This window comes from Homo sapiens, chromosome 11 (genome assembly GCF_000001405.40).
Source record: "Homo sapiens chromosome 11, GRCh38.p14 Primary Assembly".
Classification (NCBI taxonomy): domain Eukaryota; kingdom Metazoa; phylum Chordata; class Mammalia; order Primates; family Hominidae; genus Homo; species Homo sapiens.
Window position 1 is genome coordinate 17,527,705 of NC_000011.10, and position 17,132 is coordinate 17,544,836.

The 17,132-nt window shown below is 51.1% G+C and overlaps 1 protein-coding gene across 22 annotated transcripts in view, besides 1 other annotated feature; it reads right to left on the reverse strand.

The window, feature by feature from the left end:
- USH1C (USH1 protein network component harmonin) overlaps window positions 1-16,712 on the reverse strand; it is a 50,517-nt gene extending 33,805 nt beyond the window's left edge. For 19 of the 22 annotated variants that reach the window (NR_123738.2, NM_001297764.2, NM_001440687.1 and 16 more), the window contains exons 1-4: window positions 16,568-16,712; window positions 5,551-5,618; window positions 3,695-3,838; window positions 3,450-3,588 (exon numbers count right to left, since the gene is read on the reverse strand). Coding sequence is in view for 21 of the 22 variants with exons in the window: in NM_001297764.2 (NP_001284693.1) it covers window positions 3,450-3,588; window positions 3,695-3,838; window positions 5,551-5,618; window positions 16,568-16,603 (387 nt within the window). In the remaining variant the exon portion in view is untranslated. Of the gene's footprint in view, window positions 1-3,449; window positions 3,589-3,694; window positions 3,839-5,550; window positions 5,619-6,014; window positions 6,182-16,567 lie in introns of those variants that run through there. The other 3 variants (NM_001440686.1, NM_001440684.1, NM_001440679.1) reach the window with 1 other exon arrangement.
- Window positions 1,640-1,843: a silencer, noted in NCBI's record as "fragment chr11:17550891-17551094 (GRCh37/hg19 assembly coordinates)". NCBI's record gives its function as "represses an EF-1alpha promoter that drives an FKBP-Casp9 reporter gene in an ReSE screen in K562 erythroleukemia cells {active_cell/tissue: K562}" and the evidence as "EXISTENCE:reporter gene assay evidence [ECO:0000049][PMID:32094911]".

Consider the following 17,132-nt stretch of genomic DNA (forward strand, 5'->3'; position numbering starts at 1 on the left):
TCAGCTTTAAGCTATTCTTACCGGGACTTTGTCCCAACCCACCCCTAGGAAGTTGGCTCCCTATCTCTGTTAATTGCTACAACACTGTAACTGAGTCGGGGTGGGGACCTTCTGTGACTCCTGACCCAAGCTCACATCACCAACACACACACACATATGATTTTTTTTTCCCATCATATGGAAACTTGATGAACATTTTAACTCTGCTGTGGCCCTGACCTCTGAATTCCTATTTTGGGAGCAAGCAAAGAACAGTGAACGAGCACAGGGCTTTGGCATCAGATGTGCTGGGTTCAAATCCCTTCTTTTATTATTATTAGCTATATGACCTTGAGCAAGTCTCTTGAACTGTCTGAACCTGTTTTCCTCGTCTGTAAAATGGGGAATACCAAGGTTGCTGTGAGAATTAAGTGAACTTGTGCATGTAAAGACAGCTAGTGCCTGCCACACAGTAAGCACTCAATACATGATTGCTATTGTTATCATGAGTTAGTCCTGATCCCTGAATACTCAGCTCAGATCTCTCTTCTCAGGGCTTAGGCCACAGTGGATTGTTGAGATGGGCCCTGGGCAGCCAGCCCTGGATACAGAGCCGTGGTGAGATTGCCCCCTGCTGGATACTGCCGGCTCCTCCAGGCACCCCGGCCCTGGGGATCAATTCTGGAGCTCCTCATTTAATAACCACAGGGCAGGAGGAACTCTCAGATAACAGCTGAAGCTGAAGCCCAAGGAAGTGAGGTTTTGTCCAAGGTCACACAGCCAGTAGCTGCAAAACAGAGACTGGCTCCTGGAGAGGTTCCGGTCTGAGGCCAGTGCAGGTCAGCTGGGGGCTTAACTCGAAACACACGTGCTCACCCTTTGGAGACGTGCTGGCACACGTGAGGGATGCAAGCTGGACTCCCTGTGGGTCTAGGTAGGTAGGGGCTGGGTGGACATGCAGCCTCCGAGGGGTCCTCTAGGGCAACTCCTGCCCTCTACAGCATTCCCACAGAGTCACCTTCTCACTATTCCAAGGAACGCTTCCCTCCCACTCCGGGACACAGACCCCAGTCTTCTCAGGGACCTGACAGGAGTGGCCAAGGGCTCAAAATGGCACTGGGGTGGGGGCCCACTAAAGAACTCTCTAGGTTTCTGGGAACATGTAATTCAAGGACAGCGGCCAGACTAACTCCTTCCACCTATTTTTCACAACAACCCTGCAGAGCAGGAATTTGTATCTCTGTTAATCGGATGAGAAAACTGAGGCTCAGAGAGGTAAAGTGACTTGCTCAAGGTTACCCCAATAGTAAACAGTGTCGTGGGATTTGAAGTCAGGTCTCCCTGATCGACAAGTGGTGTCTCTTGGGTGTCTGGAAGTAGAAAAGAAGGGCATCCGGCCAAGCCTAGCTGCAATTCCCTGCATCCTGCCCTCTCTGGATCCTTGCCACCTGTCAGAGCCCTCAAGTCCCACACAAAGGCAGCTGTCCATGTTATGACAGGGAAAACCAAAGCACACAGAATAATTTTCTAGGTCTGGAATATACAGCAAGTTGTATGTCACAGGCTGCCCTGTGCAAGGCAGAGGATGTAGGTTAAGTTAGGATATTCTTGGGGAAAAAAAAACAAAAACCAAGTATCTCCAGCAGGGGACAAGGGCAGAGGGGTGGACCCCCAGGACTAGGTCCTGTGGGAGGGTCCAAGCCCACCACTGGGGACCCAGCCTCACAGGTCAAATCAGCACAGGTCTTTAGCCCAGCCGGGCTGTATCTGAACCTGCTCATCCCCTGCCTTCCAGCATCTTCTTCCAGTTGCCCTCAGGCATGAGATCTCCCCAGAAGCATGAACCCCAGACAGGTCAATGGATGCAGCCATTTTTCCCGAAGCTCCTCTGAGTAAAGTTCCCTGTCTTATTCCTAAAGGGAATTTGCCCAGAACCCCAGTCGGAATGATTCCCACACAGCCCCTGGCTCAGGTTGCAGGATCAACTTTCCTCCCCGTCTCGCCCTGTGTGGAGCCCTGCAAAGGGCCCTTTGTGCAAGGGCCACGATGATATAACGATCTGAGGGACAGCGGCACAAAGGAGAGATGAACCCGTCAGCTAGAGAAAGGGCCGATAATTCATAAGCCTGAGAAACAGCCAGGAAGGTAAAACTGTAGGTCTCATTAAAATACCCCAACGCCCCCAGTCATCGAGGCAGCATTGAGAACTGCTTGTCCTAAGAGAGCTCGCCCTGGAAAAAAGGCGGCCTCAGCTGACGCCAAGAGAGGCGCTCATTATGTGTTTTCTCTGGCTGCATTTCTGAGCTGGAAAATGTGCTGCAGAGGAAAGAAATAATGAAGGGGCTGAAATTTCAGACACCACCAGGGAGCCGTGAGACAGGGATTTAGAACAAAGCGGTGTCTGTCAGCTCCCTGTTTCCACCCCTTACGCCACAGTGTCTTGTACCATTAGCCTTCGAGCCCCTTGAAAGCCCCAAGCTTGGCAGCCTGGATTGGGATGTTGATAACAAACCCGCTGGAAGCTCTTGGTGATGGTGGGAGGGCCTCCTTTATCTCAACACACAAAAACACAGCCCTGGGCTCAGGTAGGAGTGAGACCTGGAGGTCTGCCCATCTCTGCTCAGGCCCTGAGGTGTGGGGACCCCAAAGGAGAGGCACCTGCGTTGCTGAAGAGAGATTTCTGGGCTTGGCAGTCAGGAGACCCAGTTAGTTTCTAATCCTGGCTCTGCCACTTACTGGCCTCTGAGCCTCTATTAATTCTGTAAAATGGGCACGATCCGTTCAATGCATATAGCAAGGACTGCTTGTGAGCATGTGACCTGGCACATTCCAGGCGTTTCTTAAATCTCCCTCTCTCTGTTCACTTACCAGGCTCACAGCATTTGTATGCCAGGCCCTGCTATAAGCACTTTCTACTATTAATTCATTTACTAACAAAACCTGACGAGGTAGACAGTACTATCGGCAACTCATTTTATAGATGAGGAAATTGAAGCACAGGGTTAAGTCATTCCACCAAGTCACACAGCCTAATGAACAGCAAAGCCAGAATTGAACCCGGCTAACCCTGCTTCAGAGTCTATGCTCTTCGGCATCACACTGCACCAGGCTTTCTTTCCCCCTGCTGGTAAAAGGCAACAGGTCCAAAACTTCATATGCCAGCATCACTGTCTTCCTCTCTTGGGGAGTAGGGGAGGTGGGGGGAAGTGCAGCGGCAGCAGCTGGAAGGAGGCAGCAGTTGGAAGCAGGCAGCAGCCAGGTTACCAGCTTCACTCAAGAAAACAGGCAATTGCCTGCGGCCTGATTTCTATGAGCCTAAGAACACCCATCAGGATGCGCCAGCCTCTTCTTCACCCGAAGGCTCAGAAAAGTGGGTGACCATGTTGTGCCACACAGCCTAGTGGATGAATGAGGGGGAGGCAGGAGGTCCGAGGCCCTCGCTCCCCCTCCCCCGGACTCTGTTTGCTCACCTGGAGCCCGACGCTGTCTGCCTGACCGCCTTTGATGAGGTGGGAGATGAAGAGCCCACAGCCAAACTCCAGGCCACCACGCACACTCAGGCCGAGGCCTTCGGGGTGCAGACGGTCCAGACGCACCTCCTTCAGCTTCCTGCCACACAGGAGAGGTCGGTGATGGTGCAGCTTGGCTGCCAGCACTGCCCCGCCCAGGGTGATCTCTCCACCCCCTGCCTCCAGCCTGGTGGCTTCCTCTGCACCTGGAGCGCCGGGGGGTCAGCTGATCATATTCCACCTGGTGCTTCAGTGGGATCAGCGGCCGAATGGCATCAAACAGAGGCAGACGGCTGGGTTCATTGATGACCAGCTTCAGGTCTCCCACGAGCACGGCCACGTCCATGGTCCTGTGGAGATGCCGGGAATGCCTGGAGCCTCACCCCTGGCCATGACCTCAGGCACCCAGGGATTCCAAGAGGAAGCCATTTCAGCCACTGGGCCCAGGCTTAGGAATGGAGTAGACCACTCCTGAAAAGCCCAGAGCTCTTCACACCGGGCCAGTGCCTGAGAAGACTTTGTTCTCTTATATAAATATCCCCAGGAAACCAGTCTACTAGGGATTGTTGACTCATTTTGCAGATGAGATGAAGCCAGGATTTCAAACTCAGCGCTGCCTATCTCGGCTGTTGGGATCTTTCCAGAGGGGAAAGCTCTGTGTGAGATGCTGACAATTCCTCACACACTCATCATCTCCACTCGTATCTGCTGCTAAGCTCTGTCAATTTCACCTCACCACAGTTCACATGCCTCCTCCCTCATGCTGTTCAGACCTTCGACTGCAGCTGCCTGCCCATGTACTCACTGTCACGTCATCTTTTCTCAGTGTAAGGCACTCCCTGGCTTAAAACCCTTTGATGGCCCCTTACTGCCCAGAGGACAAAGTCCACTCTTCTCAGCAGGCTCAAGGCCCTCCATGACCTGTCCCCATGGAGCTTCTCCAGCCTTGTGGCTATTTATGATCTCCGTGCCCTCCCAAGTCCTACTCCCCCAGATTACTTATCTCCATTCACACCCTTGCTTTCATGCCTCCACACTTTGGCTGATGCTGATCCCTCATTCTGGAATGCCCTTCCCAGATATTCCACCTACCAAAATCTTTTTCTTTTATTATTATTTTTTTGAGACAGGGTCTTGCTGTCTTGCCCAGGCTGGAGTGCATTGATGCAATCATGGCTCACTGCAGCCTTGACCTCCTGGGTTCAGGTGATATTCCCACCTCAGTCTCCTAAGTAGCTGGGACTACAGGCACGCGCCACCATACCCGGCTAATTTTTTGTATTTTTTTGTAGAGATGGGATTTCACCATGTTGCCCAGGCTGGTCTCTAACTCTTAGGCTCAAGCAATCCTCCTGCCTCAGCTTCTCAAAGTTCTGGGATTACAGGCATGAGCCACCTTGCCTGGCCCCAAATCTTTCTTATCCTTCAAAGCCTTGCTCAAGCCTTCCTGGTCCTTCCTCTTCCCTCGCAGTTGGAAAGGAAAACTCCTTTCTTCACATTTCTGCTTTTACCTCTACTTAGCAGTTATTTGATGTAACTTATATTAGAGTTCTTTGTGTTTGCAGTGTATGTTCATCTCCCCTCACCAGACCACAAGTTACTCAAGGAAAGAAATTGGATCTAATTCATTTCCAGATTCTGCACAGTGCCCAGCAGTGGCAGGAGCTTATAAAGTAGAAAAAATGAATCAAAAAGCAAGTGGGTGATCGGAGACATCTGATGCAAGGGCTGTGGCCAGCTGGCATTTCTTGTTCTGTCCCAACAATCATGCTCTATAGAATCTATCTGGCTACTAGACAGCCTCCTCCATCAGACTGTGAGCAACCTGAAAACAGAGACCAATCTGTCTGGCTCACAACTATACCCAGCCCCTAGTACAAAGCCAAGTACAAAGTACTTGTGTAAATAGTTGCTGAAATGAGTGAATGGTATGTCCATTTGATTTCCAGGAGCCGTGAGCATCCACCCTCTGAGCTCCTCTGTCTCAGAACAACCCATCCCAGGGCTCCCTGAAGACAAAGGAACCCAAGTGGCCCACAAGAGCTGGACCCAGCACACTTACTGGTGGTACATTCGCAGCACATCATAGAGATAGTCCTTCTCTGCATCATTTTCAATCAGAAAATCCACCTGGAAAATCCAATAGCAGAATCACAGCTCCAGGCTCAGCACCCGCCCCCATAGCAGACCTCAGGGAGGAGAGGTCATCCCCAAGGGCCTCCCCAGCAGCTTTTCAGGGCTGGAGTTGTGAGGAGAGAAGAGGAGCCACAGGCCAGGCTGCCCCTCTGACCCCAATGCATCAGACCTATGCAGACCACCCCAACGTGGCCACAGGAGTACCGCTGCCCCTCCAGATGTGGCCAGGCACCCTTTGTCCCCAGGTGGGGCAATATGTGCACACACGGGGATGAACACACATAGGTACATATGTGAATCCCCATGTGACAGTGACACGCTGCCATGGCAGTGCTGCTGCTCACCCCCATGGCTGTGTCATCCATGGCCAGAAGAAGCCCACTGTCTTACCTGATGGTGGCTGTAGTGCCGGATAAATGCTTTCAGGAAGGATTTGGGCCACTCGCTTAGATAGCACATGCCACTCTCCAGAAGCCCCTTACCACCGAATTCTTCTGTAACATCAGTGCCAGGGGACCTTCACTCTGTCTTGTCCTGACCTTAGCTGGGTTCTGTCCACTAGTCAGTTTCATGGCCACTCCTTCCCCCTCCCCAGGCCCCTGCACAAGCCCCGCAGGGGGAGCGTCAGGTTACATCATTTCAACTTTGTTGACGTCAATGGCTGGCACTCTAAGGTCAGGTTCAGGAGTTGTGTCATTAGCACCTCAATCCCAGCGGGAGGCCCTGAATTCCACTCCCTGAGTTACCTCAGTGTGAATCTCTACACTGTATTTTTGGGTCTCTCTTCAGCCCAAGAACGGGTAACAGAGCAAGGTGGAAGCTTGGGGGGTCACTGGGTCCCTCTCTCCTCCAGCCTCCCGGCCCAGGGCCTCAGCCCTTCATAGAGAGGCTGCAGCTGGAAGCTGCATGCTCTCCACTGACTCGTCCTCAGAAGAGGGCCAGAGCAGCGTTACCTCTTTCTGTGGGTATCCCAAGGGTTCTGGAAGACCGGGGCAGTCTGTCCGTCCCACCACAGAGGGGACATGCTGGGCCCAGCCCTTGGGATTTCTGGCCTGAGCAGGGGGTACAGAATGCAGATTTCTGGCCTAGATCTGACAGTACCTCCTTCCCTATAAAATCAGACTGAGCATTTCATTAAAGGTGAGAATAACTTGGGAGGCTTGACTCACAGCTTGGGCTTTAGTTGCTACAGAAGTTCAGCCCACCTGCTCCAAAAGGGCACCCTTGCTTTCTCCCTACCTCAGTGCAAGGAGTTCCCAGCTAGGGCTGGGTGCGGTGGCTCACGCCTATAATCCCAGCACTTTGGGAGGCCGAGGTGGGCAGATCACCTGAGATCAGGAGTTTGAGACCAGCCTCGCTAACATGGCAAAACCCTGTCTCTATTAAAATACAAAAATTAGCTGGGCGTAGTGGTATGCCCCTGTAATCCCAGCTACTTAGGAGGCTGAGGCAGGAGAATCACTTGAACTCGGGAGGCGGAGGTTGCAGTGAGCCAAGATTGCACCACTGCACTCCAGGCTGGGTGACAGAGCGAGACTCCATCTCAAAAAAAAAAAAAAAAAAAGGAGCTCCCAGATGACAGGAGATGGAAGCATCTGCTTGAGTGGGTGGTACTAAATCTTAGGGTGGGAGGCTGGCCTTTCGCACCCACCACCTCTGAAAGCTCATCTCTCCACATAGCCTGGATTCTCTCACCCCCTCTGCTCAGGCCTGTGGGGCAGGGGTGCCTCCCTGAGACAGGCCTGGGCTGCCCACACTGGGCTGTGATGGAGGAGTATGAACTCTCCTAGCAGCAGGGGCGAGAAATATCTTTATAAATTAGATATGTTGCTTGCTTGCTCAGTAGTTTCTTGTACCCCAAACCAAACCTAAATCCAAACTCCTTACTTTGACTTATCAAAGCCCAATCTCCTCTCCTACCAGTCTTCCTGGCTACAAAGTCCTCCTTTCAGTTCTTCCCACAGGCCGAACGCTCTCCAGCCTCAGGGCCTTGGCGTATGCTTGTTCCCTCTGCTTGGACTGCTTCCCCCACTTCCCTGCCTGGCCACCTCCTTTCCAGAGAGGTCTTCCCTGCTCACCTACCCAGACAGAACCGACTCCTGCACCCCGGAGATGTTTCAATTCCTTCACAGATCGACTACAATTTGTAATTTAAGGTTTGTTTTCTCTGTGAATTGTTTTCTCTGTCACCTTCGCTGGACAGAAAAATCCCATGAGGGGAAAGATGAGATCTATTTTGTTCTAAATTTCTCGTGCCCAACACATAATAAGCTCTCAATAAAGAAGTATTGAATGAATTTATCTGCCTGCCTCCTGGTATGCCCACATGGTTCAGGTGGGAGGGAGGTAACCATGGGAACAGAAGGGGAAGGGAAATGATGTTGTCCCCATAATGCCCCATGCGGTGGCACCAGGAGCTTTTCATGGGCTTTATTCCATTTGTTTATCACATTGGGGCAATATTCTCACATAATGCTGCAGCTGAGGAAACTGAGGATCAGAGAGGTTAAGTCAACTCACCCAGTGTCCCACAGCTAATAAGCAGAGCTAGGATATGAACCTAAGTCTGACTCCAAAGCCCATGTTCTTTCTGCTACGCCACGATGACCATTGATTGTGACTCAGGCCTGGCAGGGGAAAATAACTCCCAATGTCCCTTTAGGCCAAAATTTCCAACCCTTTGCTTTCAAGAACTCCTTTCTTATCTCTAAGCCCCATCTCTCTCCTCTGCACTGTTAAGAAAACACTTTTGGCTTGGTCTATAATGAGTGAGAAAATGGGACATCTTTTGAATGACTCTTTGAACCCAAGTGTTGTACTTTCTAAGGGGAGCATAAAAATCACGTCTGCTTTGGCTGAAGAGAGGACACCCTGACTAAAGACTTCTAGCCTAGTTATAACCCTGGGTGGTGACACAAGAAAGAAGATGGGACAGAGAATCTCTTATTGACTGAGGCCTTAGGACTGAAGTTCCCTCTTATCCCTCTTTGCAGAAATGTATCTTGCTGTAGCATTAGATTTCAGTAGTGAGGAACTGTCCTCCTTAGACCATGTTTATTGTGCATTAGGTGGAAAACTGAGGTAGAAGAGTAAGGTAACTTGCAATGTTAGGGTCTAGGGTTCTGTTTTTCTCCCTTCCCTGGGCCAAGCACAGATCACTTGGAGATGGTCTTGGTGGAAAGGAGCCTGTCCCTGAAGGTCCCGGGCTCCTGGCCCTTGTCAGCAGCCCTCCAGCACTGACCACTGCTCCCAGAGGTCTCATCCTACCTGTCTCCTGAGACAGCTGCAGAGCTCAGCTCTTCGGCCTCATGTCCACCCACTGTCACCGGTTAGGTCACTCAAACCCTGTCCTCAGTTCTGCCATTGCTCGCTTCACCACATCCCAAGTGGGACTCAGCTGCAGTGGAACAGATCCTTCCCCTGACACACTGGAATCTCCTTGTCCTCACTCAGAACATTCCATCTACCGCCATGTCTGACTTGTCTATTTAAACAATTCTCTATAGACCATACCAGCTAACAGGGAAAATAGATCTGGTTTGTGTAGAATGCTCTTTAAATATGAATCTAAGTGATAGATCATCAAAAACTTGAAAACTGGTTACACAGGAGATCCTGCAAAGGGAGGGATCATTCTCACCCAGAAATATCTCAGAAAGACTCAGAAAGAACAGCACTGCTTTGTTCTCTGACCACACCTGAGTGAAAACACACACTCACACCTCACTCTTCAGGCATTAAAAGGCACCAGGAAAGAAAGCTGAGAAAGATGGAAGTTTCTCTAAAGCCTGAACGTGCAGTAACAATACCACCATCACTTAAATTACTTTTTCTTTGTAGTCTTCCCTGTGGTCCAAATCAAATTACTTTTCCAATATTAAAAAATTATATAGTTTCCTCTCTTCTGGAATTCTGCCTAGCACTAGCCCGAGGATCAGTTTTGGGGAGCCCCTGCTCTAGGGTGCTTTGTACCATTGTCCCAGTACCCTGTACTCAGGTACATACGAAGCACTAGGCACGCAGTAAATCTCCCACACTCCTTTCTTCCCTTCCTTCCAAACATGTTCTTCATTTCCCTGTGGAACCCAGAACCATGTCATGCACACAAGCGCACGGTGCCCAGTGGCGTCCGTTGATGAAACGTGAACTCTATTTGCTCTAGTCTAGAGCCTTCTTTCTGACCTGTTGGCCCAGGCCTGGGTCACCACCTTTCCACTGGTCCTCAGCACATATATTCTGGGTCTGCCTCCCCTTAGTTCACTTCCAATTCATCACAAAAAAGTAGGTCCCAGCGACTCCATCTATCCACAATGGACAGCTTTCCTCCTCTCATCTGAATCCTGCCTTCATTTCAGATGAGGCCCAAGTCCCCTCTTCTAGAGTCTGGAGCCTCCTCACCTGCCTCCCAGCCTGAGTCTCTTTCTGTCTGGCTCACTTATCCCAGCCAGCCTCTCCCTACTGACTGTCCACTGCCTGAGGAACTTTACGTGTATTATCTTTAATATCCTAACAACCCTCTGAGGTGAACGTTATCATCCCCACTTTACAGATGAGGAAACAGAGGCTCAGAGAAGTGACAGAATTGAGACCCCAACCTATGCCTACTGGCTCCAAAACCTCTGCTTTTTTTCAATCTACCACATGGTATCCACTTATGAAATATAACTCCTTTGTTGTCCACTTGTCCATTACACATCTATTGAACACCTACTGTGGGAAAGACACCAGTCTTCTTTCTCCGACTAGATTTAGAAAGCCTTTCCTTTTCTTGGATCCCTCTTGATATTAAGCACAGAAGCCCTAAAGGAGCCCACCATCTACAAATAGCTGTTGGGGATCTCTATTATCATCCCTGCTACCCCCTGCCCCTGCTGCCAGCCCTGCCTAGATTAGCATTTGCTGACTGATGTTTCTCTGGCACTGTGCTATTGGTCTGTGTGGGAGGGAGGAGGGGACAGGGAGCATCTCCACCCTCACAATCTTCAGGCCCCTTGTCTAGGGTATTGGAGGCAAAAGCTGGGTTTGGCCATGTGGTACCCTCCAGTCTCATCCCTCTGTATTCCCCCATATGGACTGGCCCTTCAGGATAGCTACACAGGGGAACCATGGGACAGTCAACTCAGGAAGATTCAACTTTAGGTGTGCACCCAGCCAAACAGGGAGAAAGAGAGCCAGAACAAATTAAATAATGCATGTTGTTCTGCTTGATGAAGTCTCTTTGGGCTGTTGCGGGGATTAAATGAGTGAGTATGTGTAAAGCACGTATGACAATGCCTGGGACATTTCAAGGTCTCCAAAATGTGTGCTAGATCTTTTCCTTTCATGCCTCCAGCCTTCTCCACCCTGCCCTTTGTCCAGAGGGCTCTGCCTGGGCTCCTCTCCCCTCTGGCTTTCTGCTGTGTTCAGCCATCGGGAGGCACAAGCAGGAGATGAGAGGCGTGGGGAGACAGGAACTGAGGCTCCTAGTCCCTGGGGGCTGGCTGCTGGGCCACAGTTAGGCAGGTTCCTCCACCCAAGGCTGCAGCTGCTGTCTGGGCCTCTTTGGCAGCCCTGGTTCTCACCTGTTCTGGTAACCTTCCCTCTACTGGCCCCTTCAGGGATGCTGGCCTCCTGCATCTGGCCCCAGGGTGCAGCTTGTTGGGTCATTTAATCCTGCCCTTTTCTGTAGAACCTGTTCATAAAGCTTTCTTGGCTTCCCCCTTGGACGAGCCACCTGCTCCCTGCTGCCACCCTGGTTAGCCATTAGCAATGGTGGTACCAGCAGTATTTCCTCTCTGTGGACTCCTCCTCTATCTTTAAGACTCACTTCAAATGTCGCCTCTTCTTGGCCAAGTCTTTCCTTAGGCTCCCACACAAAGCTGGCCACATCTTTCTCTGTGCACACAACAGCACTTTGTCCCCAACTCTGCCATGGGACTCACCAAGCTGTGCTGAACTTTCTCCCTTTACCCTCCTGTCTCCCCACAAGCCTGTGTGTGGCCCAGACACAGGCCTGGCTTGTGAGTGTGGTGGTAGAGCCAAAGAACCCCTTCCCCAACTGGGTCTGCTCCTCTCTGTGCCTCAGTTTCCTTATCTGTAAAATGAGGACTAACATCTCTTTTTAAAATGGGATTTAATCACTATGAGAGATTAATCATTGTTTTTTAGTATTAATTTAATGAGTTAATAATTATGAAGAGTTCAGAACAGTGCCTGGCAGGTAGTAAGTCCTGTGTTTGTTACATAAAACTAAGTGACAATAAGTGGACATAAATTCTATATCCACAGCAGTGGGCAGCGAGTGGCCCTCTGTAGATGTTAGTGGGATGAATAGATCCAGCCACACTTCTTCCCAGGCCTTTAGAGTGTGCATCCCAGTGGTACCAGGCTTTATTTGACTCTCATTTTCTTATCATCCATCTTTTCTTTTTCTTTTGCTTTCTTTCTTTCTTGTCTAGGGTTCTCTCTGTCTCTGTCTCTGTCTCTCTCTCTTTCTTTTCTTTCTGTTTCTGTTTCTTTCTTTTTCTTTTTTTTTTTTTTTTTGAGACCAGGTCTTACTCTGTCACCCAAGCTGGAGTGCAGTGGTGTGACCACAGCTCACTGCAGCCTCAACCTCCAGGCTCAATTGATTCTCCTGCCTCAACCTCTCAAGTAGCTGGGACTACAGGTGCACAACACCACACCTGGCTAATTTTTGTATTTTTTGTAGAGATGGGGTCTCGCTATGTTGCCCAGGCTGGTCTCAAACTCATGGACTCAAGTGATTCTCCCACCTCAGCCTCCCAAAATGCTGGGATTTCAGGCGTGAGCCGCCACACCTGACTTCTTTTCTTTTTCTGGAACCACTTTATTGAGGTATGCCTGACATGTAAAGCGCTGTATATATTTAGTGTATACAACCTGATGAGTTTGGGGATAAATGTGCACGTGTGAAAGCATCACCACCATCAAGGACATAGACAGTGCCCTTCATCTTTTCAGAGGCTCTTGACATGTCAGCTAGTTTGTAGTATTTCACCCTGTGCCTGGCACAGCAATCACGCCCTGCTTCTCCTTGCTTTCCTTCCTCGCTTGCTGCTCCTTCTCCTCCAAAAGTTGAGGTACCCCGGGCTCTGTCCTAGGTCTCCTCTCCATCTGCACTGTCTCTCTAAGTGACCTCATTCATCTCAGGGGTTTAAATACCACTCACACCCCCAAGGACCTACCGATGCTTATCTCCAGGCCAGACCTACAGCCTTCTCAGTCACCTCTAGCAGGCGTCTCAAACTTACAGCATTCGAAGTGGAACGCTAGGTTTCCACCACCTCCTGCTCCGTCTCCACCAACCTGCTCCGTCTCCACCAAATGTGGATTCACCCTTGATGCCTCTCTTTCTACGCTCGCAGCCAATCCATCAGCAAAGCCTGTCAGTTTTTCCTTTAACATGTATCCTGAATCCGACCCATTCTCACCCGAGTCCGAGCCCCTGCCTCTGGCCTGGGCTCCTGCAGGAGCCTCCTGACTGAGGTCCCCTTCTACTCTTGGGCCCCTCAGTGGATTCTCTACAGAGCAGCCAGAACAATTCCTTTTAAATGTAAATCATTCACACTTACAAGAAAATCCTGACCTGACCATGGCCTACCAGGCCCCTACCACCCCTCCGACCCATTTCTCACCATTCTCCACTCACGATTCCTCTGGGACACACTGTCCTACTTGCTGTTCCATACAGGCGGGCATCTGCTTGCCTCAGGGCCTTCACACTTGTTGCTTCCACTTTAGGGAATGCTCTTCTACATGTATCTCTGTGGCTCCTTCTCCTCACTTCTTCTAGGTCTCTGCTCAGATGTCACCTCTTCAGAGAGGCCTTCGTGACTGCCTACCTTGTCACTTACTATCTCTCTCTCCCCATCTTAGTTTATTTTTTCATAGAATTTATCACTATCTGGCATTGTATGATACTTTTGTTGATTTCCTTTTAACTACCTGTCTTCCCTACTGGAATGTACTGTCTAAGACAGCAAGGGCTTTATTTTGTTTTTTGATGCTTAGAGTACTGCCTGGCATATATTAAGGGCTCAGTCAATATTTATTGCCTATGTGAATAAATGAATGATTAACAAATTCCTAGAGAGTGGTGGCTCTTTCTGATCTTATTCATCCCAACCGGTTGTCAGATGCCTGGCCTCAGGCAGAATACACAGCTATGCTCATAAATGCATGATTGCTGAAGAGGCAATAAATACTTTTAAGCCAATGAGTAACCAAGTTCCTACCCTGTGCTGGTGCTGCGAACAGAAGAGCAGTCTCCCTTTGAAAGCTGGTTCTCTGAGGGAGAAAACAGTCTCTGACCAAGCCCTGCTCCCCCACATCCTGGCCCAAGGTTGCTACTAGTTACTGGAAGGGTATGCAAGTGCTCCTGGCGGCCTTGGGGTAACTTCACAAATCAAAGGGAGTCGATGCCTGGAGCCTGTTGGCTCCCACTGGACACTCTGCAGGTATCAGCTGGAAACAGTGTGGTTACTGTGGGCCCAGAGCAGCCAGTACTTTAATTGCTAGTTAGTTTTGACTGTCTTGTGAGGTAAGTTCTACAAACTCCATCTCATAGCTGAAGAAACTAAAACTCAGGGAGAGTGGGTGGCTTGGTCAAGGTCTTCCTGACAGTGACAGGGCTAAGATTTGGTCCCAGTTCTGCTAACTCCAGATAATAATCAACATGGACATTTCTTGAGAGCTCCCTAAGTGCCAGGGTCTATTTAAGCTCCCCACACACATGTAGGTCTCATTCAGCATTCATGGTAACCTTATTCGTTAAATATTGTTATCTCTTTTCACAAGTAAGAGCACTGAGGCACAGAGAGATTAAGTAACTTGCTCAAGGTCACAGAGCACTTTCCATTATAACACACTACCTTAAATATTACTTCCAACAACTAAGGATTTAGATCACAAACCATTTCTTCCAAAACACTAAGGAAGGGACCCCTACAAAGCAAACAACAGCAAGCTGTAAATTTCTCCCAGCATGTCTGTGTGCCTCCTTTCTATCCTCTGTGCTTCATCCTCTCTCCCCAGTTCCTGGATGATCCCCAACCTGGGAGGGGAAGGCTGTGGCTGTCTCCAAGGCAGCAGGGCACAAAGTCCAGCCTGGGCCTTGCCTAGCGCATGGCGCCTGCCCTGCCTGCACACAGGGATATTAATAAGTAATGACTGTTGCGATGAGGAAGAGTAGGGCAGAGGAAACGTGGAGGTCTGAGGCCCTTTGGAGCCTGTGGGACCTGGGGAAGAGGAACAGGGCAAACCCAGGATCTGCATCAGACACCAGGGACCCTGGAGATGATTCTCACAAAAAAGAGAGAGCAGGTACCCCACAGAGTGAAGGCAGAAGACCTGATGTTATTTCAGGCCAGGGGCAGGAAACTGAAATTCAACCCTGAGTCTTGGGTTGGGGGATGGAAGGCTGAGCTCCTTCAAACTGGGTTGCCTGAAATCTACACTCACAAAATGTCCTTAGTGGCTGAAATTTCTTCCGACATGTCTCTTTGCAACAGGATGTAACAGTGAATGCTCTCTCAAGCTCCCCTTGGTATTCGCCAGCCCCTAAATTCCTGCTGAACTTCCAGCTATCACCCACCCCTGGGAGCAGGACCAGAAATGCCCAAGACCTTGTTTTCAGGAGCCTTCTGCCAGTTTGAGCTGTCCCTTTGTGCCCCTACAAAAGCTTGGCCTCAACACGCAGCACTCAGACATGGGTAATTACCAGGGTAGGGTCTGCCTCCCACCTACACCACCAGCAAAGGGCACAGACTGGGTATGGCTGAGAGGATGCTCAAAACATGCTTATTAAATGAATAACTGACCCCGGGCCCTTGGCCCCAAGCCCCTGTGGCCCCTACACTGGCTAGCTCCTTGGGCTCCTATGGGCCTCTTTATGGGAAGGAAGGAGTTAAGCACCCTGACCTGCCCTACCTGAGCTCAGCTCTCAAACCAGGAAGAGGTTTGGCTTGGTCTAAAGACACTGCCCCTGGGGTCTTTGGGAGAGCCTTGGGTCACACAGTTATCAATAGTTAAGTTATCAATAGTTACCTGCCCCTCAGGCAGGGCCTGTGGGGAGCTCCAGATACCACCCACCCCCCCCAAGCGGCTTCATCCCCAGACTCAGAGGCATCCTAAGACTTGGTGGGGAAGTAGGCTGGATCTCTTTGATGGCCCTCTCTGGTCTCAGGGCCTCAGCAGATTCTGCACAGCTTTGTGAATCATTCTCGAAATGCCCTGTGTGAAACCTGGCCACTTCCAGAGATGGTCCTTGAGAATCCCAGACCACCAGTGAGGCCCCTCACTGGGACACACCAGGGTGGACCCGGCTCTGCCTGAAGGATCTGGCCGGCCAGAGCCCAGCTCCGACGCCCTCAGTACCTCCTCCCTTCCTCCCCACCGCACCCGGGTCAGCACCAGCTCCTCAGCTACTTCTCAGACCCTAAGAAACGCCCTTAGGCAGGCAGGGCTGAAATGCTTCTAACTCATGTTCTGAGGTCAAAAGGCAGAGAGAGAGACGTCTAGTTTCCCTTCTCCCAACCCTCACCTCTCAGATACTGCCCCAGACTGTCTCCACATGCCTCAACAGCCCTGAGCTGGGGGCACTAGGAAGGAGAGGGGCTTGCCCACAAAGGGGGCACCTCAGAAAAGCGGCCAAGACTGGAAGGAATTCAAACCCCAGAGACGTCCCTGCCCCTGGAAGGCAGAGGGAGAAAGGCTGGCAGAAGATCGACTCGTTTAGCAGTCCTTGAGCCGGGAGTCCCCGCATTCCCTCCCTCACTTTACTGGGGATCCCTGCTGCCAGCCAGACGACCCTCGGGTGTCCCAGCCCAACCAGAGCCATCAGGTGGGGCCGGAAAAGGGAGGGGCAGTGCCGGGGTGTCCACCCCCTACCCACCGCGCCCAGGACTCCGGAGTCCCAGAAGCCTGGGGCGCCCTGCAGCTCTGACCTTATGCCGGAATTCTCGGGCCACTTTTCGGTCCATGGCTGGGCCAGGTCCAGCTGCGTCGTTGCACGACCCGTTCCTTCGGGTGCCCGGCTGCCAGGAGCTGGAAAGAGCCGCGACCGCGACCGGGCCAGCCGCCCTCGGAGCTGGGGGCGGGGCCTGAGCGCGGAGGGGCGGGGCCAGGCCTCTGTGGGGCGGGGCCGCTGCGAGGCTGGAGTCGAAGGTGCTGAGTCGTCGCCTCCCACTGAAGCCTGGGAGCAAATGGGCCCCAGTGTGCCTATGGGCCTGAGGTGGCAGTAGCTGGGCTTCAAGCTGGTATTTCTCTGGAAGTGGTACCTGAACACATGCGTTTGAGGAAGAAGATCGTGGAGACGTAGGGAGGAGGTTTGGGACTTTTTTGTGGGGACCGGAATAGAGAGATACGGAAACTATTTACACGGGCGGGGGGCGGGGCAATCTAGTCCGTTTTCTCTGGATATTCTTTTTTTTTCCCCCCCGAGACGGAGTCTCGCTCTGTCGCCCAGGCTACAGTGCAGTGGCATGATCTTGGCTCACTGCAAGCTCCGCC